This window comes from Homo sapiens, chromosome 3 (assembly GCF_000001405.40).
Source record: "Homo sapiens chromosome 3, GRCh38.p14 Primary Assembly".
Lineage (NCBI taxonomy): Eukaryota > Metazoa > Chordata > Mammalia > Primates > Hominidae > Homo > Homo sapiens.
The window spans coordinates 27245355-27263738 of record NC_000003.12 but is presented as its reverse complement, the minus strand read 5'-3'; the positions used below and the strand labels follow the sequence as shown (position 1 = coordinate 27263738).

General features: G+C 37.6%; 1 protein-coding gene across 29 annotated transcripts in view; it reads left to right on the top strand.

Moving 5' to 3' along the window:
* Window positions 1–18384, top strand: part of NEK10 (NIMA related kinase 10) — a 262900-nt gene that overhangs the window by 105645 nt on the left and 138871 nt on the right. For 25 of the 29 annotated variants that reach the window (XR_001740034.2, NM_001394969.1, XM_047447506.1 and 22 more), the window contains one exon: window positions 7368–7443. The exons of 1 other annotated variant lie outside the window; for it this stretch is intronic. Coding sequence is in view for 27 of the 28 variants with exons in the window: in NM_001394969.1 (NP_001381898.1) it covers window positions 7368–7443 (76 nt within the window). In the remaining variant the exon portion in view is untranslated. Of the gene's footprint in view, window positions 1–7367; window positions 7444–8434; window positions 8628–18384 lie in introns of those variants that run through there. 3 more of the 29 variants (XM_047447512.1, XM_047447511.1, XM_047447510.1) reach the window with 1 other exon arrangement.

Here is an 18384-nt window from a genome sequence, read left to right as displayed (position 1 = left end):
CTTTCCTAGTCAAAGAAACGGGTGACAGATGGCACCTGGAAAATCAGGTCACTCCCACCCTAATACTGCGCTTTTCCAACGGTCTTAGCAAACGCCACACCAGGAGATTATATCCCGTGCCTGGCTCGGAGGGTCCTATACCCACGGAGCCTCGCTCATTGCTAGCACAGCAGTCTGAGTTCAAACTGCAAGGCGGCAGCGAGGCTGGGGGAGGGGTGCCTGCCATTGCCGAGGCTTGAGTAGGTAAACAAAGCAGCCGGGAAGCTCAAACTGGGTGGAGCCCACCGCAGCTCAAGGAGGCCTGCCTGCCTCTGTAGACTCCACCTCTGGGGGCAGAGCATTGCCAAACAAAAGGCAGCAGAAAACTCTGCAGACTTAAATGTCCCTGTCTGACAGCTTTGAAGAGAGTAGTGGTTCTCTCAGCACGCAGCTGGAGATCTGAGAACGGACAGACTGTCTCCTCAAGTGGGTCCCTGACCCCCGATTAGACTAACTGGGAGGCACCCCCTAGTAGGGGCAGACTGACACCTCACATGGCCGTGTACTCCTCTGAGACAAAACTTCCAGAGGAATAATCAGGCAGCAACATTTGCTGTTCACCAATATCCGCTGTTCTGCAGCCTCCGCTGCTGATACCCAGGCAAACAGGGTCTGGAGTAGACCTCCAGCAAACTCCAACAGACCTGCAGCTGAGGGTCCTGACTGTTAGAAGGAAAACTAACAAACAGGACATCCACACCAAAACCCCATCTGTACGTCACCATCATCAAAGACCAAAGGTAGACAAAACCACAAAGATGGGGCAGGAAAACTGGAAACTCTAAAAATCAGAGTGCCTCTCCTCCTCCAAAGGAATGCAGCTCCTCACCAGCAATGGAACAAAGCTGGATGGAGAATGACTTTGACGAGTTGAGAGAAGAAGGCTTCAGACGATCAAACTACTCTGAGCTAAAGGAGGAAGTTCGAAGCCACGGCAAAGAAGTTAAAAACCTTGAAAAAAAATTAGATGAATGGCTAACTAGAATAATCAATGCAGAGAAGTCCTTAAAGGACATGATGGAGCTGAAAACCAAGGCACGAGAACTACATGATGAATGCACAAGCCTCAGTAGCCGATTCGATCAACTGGAAGAAAAGGTATCAGTGATGGAAGATCAAATGAATGAAATGAAGCGAGAAGAGAAGTTTAGAGAAAAAAGAGTAAAAAGAAACAAACAAAGCCTCCAAGAAATATGGGACTATATGAAAAGACCAAATCTACGTCTGATTGGTGTATCTGAAAGTGACGGGGAGAATGGAACCAAGTTGGAAAACACTCTGTGGGATATTATCCAGGGGTACTTCCCCAATCTAGCAAGGCAGGCCAACATTTAAATTCAGGAAATACAGAGAACGCCACAAAGATACTCCTTGAGAAGAGCAACTCCAAGACACATAATTGTCAGATTCACCGAAGTTGAAATGAAGGAAAAAATGTTAAGGGCAGCCAGAGAGAAAGGTCAGGTTACCCACAAAGGGAAACCCATCAGACTAACATCTGATCTCTCTGCAGAAACTCTACAAGCCAGAAGAGAGTTGGGGCCAATATTCAACATTCTTAAAGAAAAGAATTTTCAACCCAGAATTTCATAGGCTCAAAATAAAGGGATGGAGGAAGATCTCCCAAGCAAATGGAAAACAAAAAAAGGGAGGGGTTGCAATCCTAGTCTCTGATAAAACAGACTTTAAACCAACAAAGAACAAAAGAGACAAAGAAGGCCATTACATAATGGTAAAGGGATCAATTCAACAAGAAGAGCTAGCTATCCTAAATATATATGCACCCAATACAGGGGTACCCCGATTGATAAAGCAAGTCATTAGAGACCTAGAAGGAGACTTAGACTCCCACACAATAATAGTGGGAGACGTTAACACCCCACTGTCAACATTAGACAGATCAACAAGACAGAAAGTTAACAAGGATATCCAGGAATTGAACTCAGCTCTGCACCAAGCAGACCTAATAGACATCTACAGAACTCTCCACCCCAAATCAACAGAATATCCATTCTTTTCAGCACCACACCACACTTATTCCAAAATTGACCACATAGTTGGAAGTAAAGCACTCCTCAGCAAATGTAAAAGAACAGAAATTATAACAAACTGTCTCTCAGACCACAGTGCAATCAAACTAGAACTCAGGATTAAGAATCTCACTCAAAACCTCTCAACTACATGGAAACTGAACAACCTTCTCCTGAATGACTCCTGGGTACATAACGAAATGAAGGCAGAAATAAAGATGTTCTTTGAAACCAATGAGAACAAAGACACAACATACCAGAATCTCTGGGACACATTCAAAGCAGTGTGTAGAGGGAAATTTATAGCACTAAATGCCAACAAGAGAAAGCAGGAAAGATCTAAAATTGACATCCTAACATCACAATTAAAAGAACTAGAGAAGTAAGAGCAAACACATTTTAAAGCTAGCAGAAGGCAAGAAATAACTAAGATCAGAGCAGAACTGAAGGAAATAGAGACACAAAAAAACCCTTCAAAAAATCAATGAATCCAGGAGCTGGTATTTTGAAAACATCAACAAAATTGATGGACTGCTAGCAAGACTAATAAAGAAGAAAAGAGAGAAGAATCAAATAGACGCAATAAAAAATGATAAAGGGGATATCACCACCGATCCCACAGAAATACAAACTACCATCAGAGAATACTATAAACACCTCTACGCAAATAAACTAGAAAATCTAGAAGAAATGGATAAATTCCTGGACACATACACCCTCCCAAGACTAAACCAGGAAGAAGTAGAATCTCTGAATAGACCAATAACAGGCTCTGAAATTGAGGCAATAATCAATAGTTTACCAACCAAAAAAAGTCTAGGACCAGATGGATTCACAGCCGAATTCTACCAGAGGTACAAGGAAGAGCTGGTACCATTCCTTCTGAAACTATTCCAATCAATAAAAAAAAGAGGGAATCCTTCCTAACTCATTTTATGAGGCCAGCATCATCCTGATACCAAAGCCTGGCAGAGACACAACCAAAAAAGAGAATTTTAGACCAATATCCCTGATGAACATTGATGCAAAAATTCTCAATAAAATACTGGCAAACCAAATCCAGCAGCACATCCAAAAGCTTATCCACCATGATCAAGTGGGCTTCATCCCTGGGATGCAAGGCTGGTTCAACATACGCAAATCAATAAACGTAATCCTGCATATAAACAGAACCAAAAACAAAAACCACATGATTATCTCAACAGATGCAGAAAAGGCCTTTGACAAAATTCAACAACGCTTCATGCTAAAAACTCTCAATAAATTAGGTATTGATGGGACCTATCTCAAAATAATAAGAGCTATCTATGACAAACCCACAGGCAATATCATACTGAATGGGCAAAAACTGGAAGCATTCCCTTTGAAAACTGGCACAAGACAGGGACGCCCTCTCTCACCACTCCTATTCAACATAGTGTTGGAATTTCTGGCCAGGGCAATCAGGCAGGAGAAGGAAATAAAGGGTATTCAATTAGGAAACAAGGAAGTCAAATTGTCCCCGTTTGCAGATGACATGATTGTATATTTAGAAAACCCCATCGTCTCAGCCCAAAATCTCCTTAAGCTGATAGACAACTTCAGCAAAGTCTCAGGATACAAAATTAATGTACAAAAATCACAAGCATTCTTATACACCAATAACAGAAAAACATAGAGCCAAATCATGAGTGAACTCGCATTCACAATTGCTTCAAAGAGAATAAAATACCTAGGAATCCAACTTACAAGGGATGTGAAGGACCTCTTCAAGGAGAACTACAAACCACTGCTCAATGAAATAAAAGAGGATACAAACAAATGGAAGAACATTCCATGCTCATGGGTAGGAAGAATCAATATTGTGAAAATGGCCATACTGCCCAAGGTAATTTATAGGTTCAATGCCATCCCCATCAAGCTACCAATGATTTTCTTCACACAATTGGAAAAAACTACTTTAAAGTTCATATGGAACCAAAAAAGAGCCCACATTGCTAAGTCAATCCTAAGCCAAAAGAACAAAGCTGGAGGCATCACTCTACCTGACTTCAAACTATACTACAAGGCTACGGTAGCCAAAACAGCATGGTACTGGTACCAAAACAGAGATACAGACCAATGGAACAGAACAGAGCCCTCAGAAATAATGCCGCATATCTACAACCATCTGAAGTTTGACAAACCTGACAAAAACAAGCAATGGGGAAAGGATTCCCTATTTAATAAACGGTGCTGGGAAAACTCGCTAGCCATATGTAGAAAGCTGAAACTGGATCCCTTCCTTACACCTTATACAAAAATTAATTCAAGGTGGATTAAAGACGTAAATGTTAGACCTAAAACCATAAAAACCCTAGAAGAATACCTAGGCAATACCATTCAGGACATAGGCATGGGCGAGGACTTCATGTCTAAAACACCAAAAGCAATGGCAACAAAAGCCAAAATTGACAAGTGAAATCTAATTAAGCTAAAGAGCTTCTGCACAGCAAAAGAAACTACCATCAGAGTCAACAGGCAACCTACAGAATGGGAGAAAATTTTTGCAATCTACTCATCTGACAAAGGGCTAATATCCAGAATCTACAGTGAACTCCCTCAAATTTACAATAAAAAAAAAACAACTGCATCAACAAGTGGGTGAAGGATATAAACAGACACTTCTCAAAAGAAGACATTTATGAAGCCAAAGGACAGATGAAAAAATGCTCATCATCACTGGCCATCAGAGAAATGCAAATCAAAACCACAATGAGATACCATCTCACACCAGTTAGAATGACGATCATTAAAAAGTCAGGAAACAACAGGTGCTGGAGAGGATGTGGAGAAATAGGAACACTTTTACACTGTTGGTGGGACTGTAAACTAGTTCAACCATTGTGGAAGTCAGTGTGGCGATTCCTCAGGGATCTAGAACTAGAAATAGCATTTGACCCAGCCATCCCATTACTGGGTATGTACCCAAAGAATTATAAATCATGCTGATATAAAGACACATGAACACGTAAGTTTATTGCGGCACTATTCACAATAGCAAAGACTTGGAACCAACCCAAATGTCCAACAATGATAGACTGGATTAAGGAAATGTGGCACATATACACCATGGAATACTATGCAGCCATAAAAAATGATGAATTCATGTCTTTGGAGGACATGGATGAAGCTGGAAACCATCATTCTCAGCAAACTATCGCAAGAACAAAAAACCAAACACCGCATGTTCTCACTCATAGGTGGGAATTGAACAATGAGAACACATGGACTCAGGAAGGGGAACATCACACACCAGGGCCTGTTGTGGGGTAGGGGGAGGGGGGAGGGATAGCATTTGGAGATATACCTAATGTTAAATGACGAGTTACTGGGTGCAGCACACCAACATGGCACATGTATACATATGTAACAAACTTGCACGTTGTGCACATGTACCCTAAAATTTAAAGTATAATAAAAAATATATATAATACATACATGACATTTGCATATATTAAATTATTTAAATTTTACTTTCATACTATTCTGTTTACAATATATATCAGCAGTATATTATTATAATCCTTATTTTATAGATAAGAAAGCTATTGGAGGCCGGGCATGGAGGCTCACGCCTGTAATCCCAGCACTTTGGGAGGCTGAGGTGGGCGGATCATGAGGTCAGGAGATCGAGACCATCCTGGCTAACACTGTGAAACCCAGTCTCTACTAAAAATACAAAAAATAAAAAAATTAGCTGGACGTGCTGGCGGGCTCCTGTAGTCCCAGCGACTTGGGAGGCTGAGGCAGGAGAATGGCGTGAACCCGGCAGGCAGAGCTTGCAGTAAGCCGAGATTGCGCCACTGCACTCCAGACTAGGTGACAGAGTGAGACTCCGTCTCAAAAAAAAAAAAAAAAAAGAAAAAAGAAAGCTATTGGAAAACAAGATAAAATAACTTGCCCAGGGTTACTCAAGTTGCTCATAATAGAGTCAGTATTCAGATTGAGGCTGTCCAGTTCCTGAGTCCTGTCTTTTAAGCACTAAGCTATACTAATGATAATACCTGTCTTTCAGAGTGCTATGAGTGTTAAATGAGGCAATTCATGTAAGTGGCTGAATTTATGCTAGTATAAACTTGTTGTTTAGTAAACGTGTATTATTATTAATAATGCGAATTTTTATTATTTTGAAATGAAATGACTTTGGAATATTTTTGACCTGAAAGGTATTTTAGTATATATAATCAAATACTGCATTGAAGTTTGTTCCAGTGAAATTCCATGAGCATTTGCTGTGCTTTACAACATGATATTGAGAATATCAAAGCTTATTTGGAAAAACAACTTGAATTCTTGCACTGGTTCTGCATTGTCTTTTTTGTGCAATCCTGGTAATTAAATTTCTTGAAATATCTGTGAATCTGTAGCAAATGGATAGGAAAAATATCTGTTTTTATCATTTTGACCTAAGTTGTTGAGTGGTTTATAAAAGACAGGCTGGGCCTGGTGGCTCACGCCTGTAATCCCAGCACTTTGAGAGGCCAAGGCAGGTGGATCACAAGGTCAGGAGTTCAAGACCAGCCTGGCCAACGTGGTAAAACCACGTCTCTACTAAAACTACAAAAATTAGCCGGGCATGGTGGCACGTGCCTGTAATCCCAGCTACTTGGGAGGCTGAGGCACGAGAATTGCTTGAACCTGGGAGGCAGAGGTTTCAGTGAGCCGAGATCGCACCACTGCACTCCAACCTGGGTGACAGAGTGAGATTCTGTCTCAAAAAAAAAAAAAAAAAAAAAGAGAGAAAAAAGAGAAGTACCTGAAGATATTTTGAAAAGTACAAGATTGTGCTAATATTACATATAGATATTTGGTGTTCTGTGATAAAAATCAGAATATGTTGTTGATATATAAATATTTTGAGATTATTTTGAACATACTTGTACTGTGATTAGTACACGTTGATGCCAGTTAATTTTAGGTTTTCAGGCCTTCATGGTATTTATTTGGGTGTACCTTACTTTTCTTTTAGCCTGACAAGGTCATGACTGCCCTATGCCAAATGTTAGATTCATTCTGTTTACTTAAAAATTATAAAGGATAACCTAAAAAATGGAATCACAGTTTCAATAAGTACTTTGTCCTATGTTTCAGTCAGCAAGACTTATTTTATGTTTTTTTAAAATGATAAACCTCATTATATCAAAATATATAGCATTAAGAAAAGAAAAGCCTTTGGTTATGAAGTGTAGTAGTTATTGTGTAGATTGTCAAATGCTAAGGAACAATGATAACTCTGGGAAAATATAGTAACATATTGCGTTGTTTTGTGAATTGTAGCTGACTTTGGCCTGGCAAAGCAAAAACAAGAAAACAGTAAACTCACCTCTGTGGTTGGAACAATCCTGTATTCTTGGTAAGGACAATTCTTTTATGGCTCTCAAACATCATACTTAACTGATTTAGGCTTTCATTTATATTATTGACTTGCAAAGGAAAGAGAATTTCAGGAAAGAAAGCTTATTTTATAAGTTTTTTCAATTATCTAGGTAATACACATTACTAGAATTGTGGATCATTATGTATGCTTAAAACAACCACCACAAAAATAATCTTTCTTCTAAGGTATCATGCCCCTCATGGGGATTACTTATATCAATTGTAAATTGCAATGATCCTTGGCATATAGTAGGTGTGCAATAGTTGTTTAATGAATCTGAGAATGAAGTAATAGATATGCTACCCAACATGATACTTGGAACATTTTATTGTACCCTCTTGTATGTATGACTCTTTTTCTCTTTTCTACCTATAAACATTCAAGTGCAGGGCAAGGATTTTTGTACACTAATACCTATCCTAGTATCTGGCAAATAATAGGCACTGAATAAACTTTATTGTGTGAATGAATAAATAATGATATGTATACTTAGACATATGTTTACAAAGTAAATTGCTTCTTAGATAAATGAGTGTTTATATTTTGATAAATCGAGACACTTAAATTCTTTGGCATACTTTGGGGGTTCCTTTGCAAGCCATTAATTATTATGAAGTAAGAATCTTCTTTTGCTGATCACATGTCATTTGTCTGAATCTGCTGAAATTAGCAAACAGTTATGGTAAAGAGTAGAAAAGCAGATTTCAGGGAAATATTCTGAAATCTGATTCAACAGGTCAAGCAATCAAGACACTTTTATTTTTTTTTAAATCTAGCCTATAGTTGTACAATTGAGTCCTGGGGATAGAATTAAACACGACTCTTCTTGAGGAAGAGTAGAAATTGTCTAAAAATAGCAGCCTAATTTTACAAAGTCCTTTCATGCAGAAGTGTTCAGAATAATGTTTTAAGAGGGTGACTTTTCATTTATCTTACTGGATATGTTTTACATCTTTATTCTTGAAAGTGGTTTCATGAGAAGATGCAAAGAAACTGTGGCAGGCTAACATGTACCTTGTAAGCTGCAAGCTTATATGATGTCTACTTATCCTCTTAACAGTAAGGCTGACCTACTCGTTACTTTCTGAGAGAAGAATAATTTTCTTTTGTTTCACTGTGTACTGTTTTTATAAAATAAACAATAAAATTTGATCATAAAAGTGTCAAGTAATCATATATCTCTGAACAGATTTGATTGTCAAATTGCAGAACAATTAAAACACAAACTTAAATTTCTGCTGGTCATACTTGGTGAAAGCATATTTTTATTCCTGAGACTTTGAATTAAGTTTAGAATTGCTCATATGATAGTATCAACTGTGTGTGTGTGTGTGTGTGTGTGTGTGTGTGTGTAAGAGAAAGAGACAGAATCCATAGAATACGTAGGAAGAAATCCAAAACATGCCAACTTTTTTGCCGTATTAGCGCAAACACGGCTTCACATTTTCATTTAATTTTTAAATTAACTGAAGGGTTTGTAAGCTGAACCTACTCATATAGATAAGCTATTATTTCATGTATGTGTACTATGATTGTTTTAATAGCATGTAAAGTATATCTTACTACCATTTATCTTTCTGTCAACTTCTTATTCTTTTAAATTGCTTTAAAAATTTCTTTCTACTCCCTTCTCTCATCTCTCCGAGTTATTAGAAATGCCTCTTGTCTGATAGGTTTTACTATGAATTTGGGCTCACAAACCGTCTTTCTTGCTAGTTTTTGATGTCCTTAACTGAGTATGGAGTTAAAAGAACTCAGTCCTACATCATATTGTGTTTCTTTCTTAATTTGGGATTCTCCAAAAGCAGAATCTGGGACAAGAATTTGAGTGAAATTGTTTATTTAGGAGGAGGTCCCAGGAAACACTATTAGGAGAGTGGTGAAGTGAGATTGGGAGGGAAAGCAGCCAGTACAGTGAACATTAATAATTAGGTTCATAGAGTATTATCTGGGATATAGTGTAAAGCAGGGGTGTCCAATCTTTTGGCTTCTCTGGGCTACATTGGAAGAGGAAAAATTGTCTTGGACCACACACAAAATACACTGACACTAAAGATAGCTGATGGGCTTTTAAAAATTGAAAAAAACCAAAATCTCATAATGTTTTAAAAAAGATTTTTGAGTTTATGTTGGGCTACATGCGGTCCGTGGGCCGGGGGTTGGACTAGCTTGGTGTACAGGATGTCTTTGAGTTGCCCTGCGCACCGGATGAGAGGTTGGAGTATTTTTTTTCCAATCACAAGGGGGAGCCCTCAGCATCTGACTGAGGGCTGCTCTGGGGAGCTTATGCCCAGGTGCTTATGGCATGCCAGGGCGTGGGCTGGGGCATTCCAGGCAGAGAGCTGGAGGGCCATTGCTTGAGGTATGATGCCATAGACTTGTACTGGAAATGTGAGTAGGAGTCTGGCTAGGGTCCCGACATTCTAGAATTTTTTTGTAATTCTATAATTCTTATTTTCATTAATTTTTCTAAGCTTGTCTGAGCCTATAAATGTGGACCTGGGATGTGGACATTTGGATGCCATAGAGATGCCTAGGCACCCCTTTCCCTTCCCTGCAGGGTCCCCAGAGTTTGATGTCCCCATGTCATTTTGCCCTTTCCATTTGCTTTTGCTTCCTCAGATATTAACTTACTGAATGGAAGAAAGGTCTCTTTGTCAACTCTTGTAGGAAGTGCCTCAGAGCATTTATTCTGTATTCAGCTGCTAGATAAAGGGTTTGTGGGCACATTGCTGGACCGATTGTACTAGAACAGAAGGTCAGTAAAGGTTCTTTTCATTCATCTGATGTGATTTATTATTAGGCAGGTATTTGTTATCCTTCTCAAGGGAAAAAAATATCCAAATATGGTACTTGTTTCCATTTTTTATCTCTATGTCTTCCTCCAATTCCAGAGAAGAAAATTAGACACCATCTTCAACTTCATTTTTTGGGAAGAGTATAGAGTTTGAGGCTCTGGGAAGCATTTTCAGCTAGTTCTTCACAGAACATATATGGGATTTATGAAGCTAGTATGATGTATAAAATACAATAAAAGTTTTCCAATAAAAATGGAAAACTTCAACTATTCCTGGAATGGGAATTATTAGTCTATGGCTTAGTATAATCCCATTCATATTATGACACTAGATAATTAGAAGAGAAGCTCATGAACTTTAAATTGGATGGATCAAAATAAACCTGTAGGTAAAACTGATTAAGTAGAGACAAAGTGAAGCATGCCTATTAACTGCACTTCTTAAATTTTTAAAAAAATTATTTTTTTGATACATAAAGTTGATAGAATTCTTAAGAAAGCTATAATACACTCAAAATTTTGAGAATTTTAAGTGGCTTAAAACACTTAAGTGACTTCCAGCTGCTCATGCAAAGACCAAGCCCTCAGTATGGCCACAAGCAGACAACCTTGCATTCTCTGGCCTCTGCCAAGTTCTTCAGCTTTACCACAAACCAAACTTTAACAATTCCTAGCTGTTTCATCTGGGCTCCCTCTGACCACAGGGCCTTTGCACATGCAGCTCCCTTTGCCTGGAATACTCTTTTCTATTTGTCATCTGGTTAATTCTTACCTGCCTTCAGCTGAACCCCCTTAGACAAGGTCTATTTCCTCTGATCTACACACTCTATGTACTTTTCCTTCACACAATTGAACTTTTTGTTGATTTTGTGATAAGCAATTATGATTTTGTTCATCACAATCCCCAGCAGTCCTAAGTCTGGTACTTTAAAACTCACAAGTAATATTTGCTACATGAATGATCAAGTACTTGCATGATTATAAACATTAGTGGAAATAACATATTAGAAAGAAAATTATTTCTTTTTGTTGTAACAAATTTTTAATTCCCTGTCCTTTCCCTTCTTGCTGTTCCTTCAGATCTCCAAAATACTCCTCCTTGGAATACTCTTCCTTCAGAGATAGCTGCAGAGTTTACTTCTTTACTTCATTCTGCTCTTTGCTTAAATGCCACTTATGTAGAGAGGATTTCCCTGATCACTTGCCCCAAATAGCAACCTCCCTTCAGACTGCTTTATTTTTTCATAGTCTTGCCTCTACCTGACCTTATGTTGTACTTGAATTGGCTTATAGTGTGTCTCTCCACTACACACAAGCTCCATAAGCATAGGACTTGCGTCTCCTTTGTTCACCACTGTTTCCCCAGGACCTAGAGGAGTTGACTAGCAGAATCTTAAGAAATACTTTGAATAATTGAAGTGAAAACAAGTCATTTTTTAATATTAATATGATAAAAATTAGTGTATATTTTTATTGAGTTCTAGTATATCTTTGAACTTTTCTGATTTTTACCCTAATAAAGCCTGAAGAAAATGCTTTTCATTTGAGATAGTAAGTACCTTGATGGTAGGGTCTATTTTATTTTGTTTTCTCTTTGCTTATTTTATCTTTATATATTACATAGTTACTACAACAGTGAGTAAATGAGATCAAGTAGGATGTTAAACATTTTAACAAAATAAAATGTGTAAAGATTATATATTACAGAAATATGTATTCTTCAGTGACCAATAAAGTGGCCCTGAGGGAAATTTCAAAAAAGAGATGTGTTAGATCGTTCTTGGATTGCTATAAAGAAATACCTGAGACTGGATAATTTATAAAGAAAAGAGGTTTAACTGGTTCATGGTTCTGCAGGCTGCACAGGAAGCATGACGCTGGTATCTTCTTGGCTTCTGGGGAGGCCCCAGGAAACTTACATTCATGGTGGAAGGTGAAGGGGGAGCAGGCATATCACATGGCCAGAGCAGGAGCAGGAGAGGGGAAGTGAGGAAGTGCCACACACTTTAAAAACAACCAGAACTCATGAGAACACACTCACTGTCAGAACAACAGCACTAAAGGGATGGTACTAAACCATTCATGAGAAATCCACCCCCATGATCCAGTCATTTTCCACTAGGCCCCACCTTCAACACTGGGAATAACAATTCAATATGAGATTTGGGCAGGGATTTTCAAAAATAAGCATAATTGGAAAAAGACCATGGTATTGACAGAGACAGGGCATTATCAAGAGCACAAACTCTAGAATCAGATGGCCTGGGTTTAAATTCTAGATCGGCTATTGAGAGTTTTAAATGATTGAATTTTTCTGTGCCTCAGTTTCCTCATCTGCAACCTGGGGATGATAATAATAGTGCCCATGTCCTAGGATTATTGTGAGATTAAATGAGGTGATACATGTCACATGCTGGGAACAGTGCCTGGCTGGCATATGGTAAGCACTCACTAGATAATAGTGATTGTTATTTCCTGTTAGTCTAAAGTTTGAAAGGATAGTACTCATTTAAATGTATATATTATATTCTGCATATATAGGAGGTTATAGAACACTAGGCGGATTTAACCTAAAGAAGACTACCTCAAGGTATTTAATAATCAAACTCACAAATATCAGGGATAAAGAAAGGATCTCAAAAGCAGCAAGAGAAAAGAAACAAATAACATGCAATGGACCTCAATACATCTGGCAGCAGACTTTTCAGTGGAAGCCTTACGGGCCAGAAGAGAGTGGCATGACATATTGAAAGTGCTGAAGGAAAAAAAAAATTTACCCCAGAATAGTATATCTGGTGAAAATATCCTTCAAACATGAAGGAGAAATAAAGACTTTCCCAGACAAACAAAAGCTAAGGGATTTCATCAACATCTGACCTGTCCTATGAGAAATGCTAAAGGGGGTTCTTCAATCAGAAATGAAAGGGCATTAATGAGGAATAAGAAACCATCTGAACATACAAAACTCACTGGTAATAGTAAATACACAGGCTGGGCACAGTGGCTGACACCTGTAATCCCAGCACTTTGGGAGACCAAGGCAGGTGGATCACGAGGTCAGGAGATCGAGACCATCCTGACTAACACAGTGAAACCCCGTCTCTACTAAAAATACAAAAAATTAGCCGGGCATGGTGGTGGGCGCCTGTAGTCCCAGCTACTTGGGAGGCTGAGGCAGGAGAATGGCGTGAACCTGGGAGGCGGTGCTTGCAGTGAGTGGAGATCGTGCTACTGCACTCCAGCCTGGGTGACAGAGAGAGACTCCATCTCAAAAAAAAAAAAATAGTAAATACACAGAAAAACAAAGAATATTATAATACTGTAATTGTGGTATATAAACTACTGTTAGCTTAAGTAAGACTAAAATGTGAATCAATAAAAATAACTACAACAACTTTTCAAGACATAGCACAATAACATATAAAGAGAAACAATAAGTTAAAAAGTGGGGGGACAAAATTAAAGTATACAGTTTTTATGTTTTCTTTTTGCTTGTTTGTTTATGCAATCAGTATCATCAGTTTAAAATAATGGGTTACAACATAGTATTTGCAAGTTTCATGGTAACCTCAAATCAAAAAACATACAACAGATACACAAAAAGTAAAAAGTAATAAATTAAATCATACCATAAAAGAAAATCACCTTCACTAACAGGAAGACAGGAAAGAAGAATGAAAGAGAATACCCCAAAACAACCAGAAAACATAAATGACAAAATGGCAGGAATAAGTTCTTACTTATCAATAATAACATTGAATGTAAATGGATGAAACTCTCCAATCAAAAGACAGAGTGGCCCAGTGGACAAAAAACTAAGACGCAATGATCTGTTGCCTATTAAAAATGCATTTCACCTCTAAAGACACATAGACTGAAAATAAAGAGAAGGAAAAAGATATTCCATGCCAATGGAAGCCAAAAAAGAGCAGAAGTAGCTATACTTATATCAGAAAAAATATATTTCAAGACAAAAACTGTAAGAAGAGACAAAGAAAGTCATTATATAATGATAAAGGAGTCACTTCAGCAAGAAGATATAACAATTGTAAATATATATGCACCCAATACTGGAGCACCCAGATATATAAAAGAAATATTATTAGAGTGAAAGAAAGAGAGATGGACAAAAATATAATTGTATTAGTCTGTTTTCAAACTGCTATAAAGAACTACCTGAGACTGGGTAACTTATAAAGGAAAGAGGTTTAATTGATTTGCAGTTCAGCGTGGCTGGGGAGACCTCAGGAAACTTACAAACATGGTGGAAGACAGGGGAAGCAAGGCTCCTTCTTTACAAGGCAGCAGGAAGGAGAATGAATGCAGGAGGAACTACCAAACACAAAACCGATCACATGAGAATTCACTATCATGAGAACAGCTTGGGGGATATCGCCCCCATGATTCAATTACCTCCACCTGGTCTCTCCCTTGACATGTGGGGATTATAGGGATTACAATTCAAGATGAGATTTTGGGTGGGGTGTAGCCAAACCATTATCAACAATAATAGCTGGAGACTTCAATACCCCATAGCATTGGACAGACCTCCCAGATAGAAAATCAGTAAAGGATCATTGGACTTAATCTGCACTGTAGACCAAATGGACCTAATGGATAGTTACAGAATATCTCATCCAATGGCTACAGAATATACATTCTTCTCAGCACATGAATTATTCTCAAGGATAAACCATATGTTAGGTCACAAAACAAGTCTTAAAACATTTAAAAAAAAGTTGAAATAATATCAAACATCTTCTCTGACTGTAATAGAATAAAACTAGAAATCAGTGACAAGAGGAATATTGGATACTCTACAAACACATGGAAATTAAACAGTATGCTCCTGAATGACCAGTGGGTCAATGAATAAATAAGTAAATTGAAAAAATTTTTGAAACAAATAATAATGGAAACACAACATACCAAAACCTATGGGATACAGTGAAAGTAGTACCAAGAGAGAAGTTTGTAGCTATAAATGCCTAAACCAAAAAGAAGAAAAACTTCAAATAAATAACCTAATGATGCATCTGAGAGAACTAGAGAAGCCAAAGCAAATGAAACCCAAAATTAGTAGAAGAAAAGTAATAATAAAGAGCAGATATAAAAGCAATGGAAATGAAGAAAACAATACAAAAGATCAACAAAATGGAAAGTTGTTTTTTGGAAAAGTTAAACAAAATTAACAAACCTTTAGACAGACTAAAAAAAAGGGAGAAGACCCAAATAAATACAATCAGGGATGAAAAAGGAGACATTACAATTGATACTGCAGAAATTCAAAGAATAATTAGTGGCTACCACGAACAACTATGTGCCAATAAACTGGAAAATTTAGAAGTAAGTAAATTACTAGACACATACAACCTACCAAGATGGAACCATGAAGAAACTCAAAACCCAAACAGACCAATAACAAGTAGTGAGATGGAAGCCATAATGAAAAGTCTCCCAGTAAAGAAAACCTGAGACCCAATGGCTTCACTGTTGAATGCTACCAGATGTTTAAAGAATAACTAATACCAATCCTACACAAACTATTGCAAAAAATGGAGGAAGAGGGTATACTTCCAAACTTACACCGTGAGGCCAGTATTACCCTGATACAAAAACCAGACAAAGACGCCTCCAGAAAAAAAAAAAAAAAAGAAAAGAAAAGAAAAGAAAATTAAAAGAAAACTGCAGGCCAATATTGCTTGAGTGCAGGAGTTTAAGACCAGCCTGGGCAACATGGCGAAACCCTGTCTCTACTAACAATGCAAAATATTAGCCAGGCATGGTGGTGTGCATGTGTAGTCCCAGCTACTTGGAAGGCTGAGGCGGGAGGAATGATTTAGTCCAGGAGGTGGAGGTTGCAGTGAGCTGAGATCGCACCACTGCACTGCAGTTTGGGTGACAGAGACTCTGTCTCAAAAAAATAAAATAAAATAAAATAAAATAAACAAAATTCTAGCAAATCAAATCCAACAATACATTAAAATGATTATTCCTCATGATCAAGTGGGATTTATCCCAGAGATGCAAGGATATGTAAATCAATCAATGTGATACATTGTATCAACAGACTGGAGGACAACAACTATATGATCATTTCAATTGATGCTGACAAAACATTTGATAAAATTCAACATCCCTTCATGATGAAAAGCCCTAAAAAACCTGGGTACAAAAAGAACATACCTCAACATAAAAAAAGCCATTTACAACAGACCCACAGCTAATATCATACTGAATGGGGAAAAATTGAAAACCTCTTCTTGAAGATCTAGAACATGACAGGGATGTTAACTTTCATCATTGTTATTCAAAATAGTACTGGAAGCCCTAGCCAGAGCAGCCAGATAAGAGAAATAAATAAAAGGCATCCAAATTGGGAAGGAAGAAGTCAAGTTATCCTTGTTTGCAGATGATATGATCTTATATTTGGAAAAACCTGATCTTATATTTGGAAAAACCTGACGACTCCACCAAAAAACTATTAGAACTGATCAACAAATTTAGTAAAGCTGCAGGATACAAAATCAACATACAAAAAGCAGTAGCATTTCTATACACCAACAGCGCACAATGTGAAAAAGAAATCAAGAAAGTAATATCATTTATGAGAGCTACAAATAAAGTAAAATACCTAGGAATTAACTTAACCGAAGAAGTGAAATATGGGACTAAAAATTGTGTGGGAATAAAAATTTGTGGTGCTAAAAATTAAATAATTGAACTCATGGAGAAAGAACATAGAAGGATGGTCACCGGGGCTAGGAAGGGTAGTGGGCAGGGGTTGGGGGGATTGGGGTGATTAATGGGTATAAAAAATAGAATTAGTGAATAAGAGCTAATATTTGATAGCACAACAGGGTGACTATAGTTAAAAAAATTTAATTATACATTTTACAATAACTGAAAGAGTATAATTAGATTGTTTTAACACAATGCTTGAAGTGATGGATATCCTATTTACTGTGATGTGATTATTATTCATTGCATGCCTGTGTCAAAATATCTCATAAACCCCATAAACATATACACCTACTATATATTTACAAGTAAAGTTAAAAATAAAAAATTTAAAAAATCTAAATTTACTTGAGGATGAAAGGTTGGAGGAGAGAGAGGATCAGAAAAAATACCTATTGAGTATTATGCTTACTGGTGGGTGACAAAATAATCTGCAACAAACCCCCATGACATGCAGTTTACCTATATAACAAACCTGCAGATGTACCCCTGAACCTAAAAGTCATAATAAAAAAGGGTGAATGTAGGTACATAATGCCATTGTACATTATGCATTTTTCAGTCTGATTTGTTCTGAACTCCTCAGAATCACAAAACGCAAGAAAGAAAGCTCTCTGATGATTGATTCTGTCAGTGGAAGTCCTTGCTTCTTTTATCAATTGGAAATTCAGAATCATTTATCTTCAGTCTCTATATTCTTTTTCTCTTGCCCTTTTATAGTCTTTACTTTTACAAGTAAAAGTGAATCATAAGCACTAGATTTCCTTCTCCATGTTTATTTATCTACTTTGTCATTTTGAACATTTAATACCTAGTGGTTATGTATAGTATTTCCCATTTCCTATTGGAACAAGATTCAAGAGGAAATACATAGTGATAAGATGTGTTACTTTAACATGTTTTTCTGAGGGTGGGAGGGGTGTGGTCAAAAGAAGTTTCCTCATGTATTTACCACAAATTAATTTATTGAATAATTAAGAAATTAGAATCATTTGATGATGGAGAGATGTATATTTCAGATATGTATTGGATGCATAACAATCCATCCCAAAATTTAGTTGCTTAAAACCACGATGGTTTATATAGGTTTGCTTGATCATTCCTCTGTTGGTTCCCCTGAACTCATGTGGATGCATTTGGCTGAATTATTGGCTTGGCTGGGCAGTCCAAGATGGCTTCATTAATAAGGCAGTTCGTGTTGATGCTTGGCTAGAGTCCCTTGGATCTTTTTCAGGTGGCCTTTCGTTTACATGACAGTAGTGGAGTAACATTCCAAGAAAGTAAAAGCTGAGCTGCAAGGCCCGATTGGGGCTAGCCTTGGATGTCACTAAACATCCCTTCTGCCATATTCTGTTGGTCAAAGCACATAAGAGCCAGCC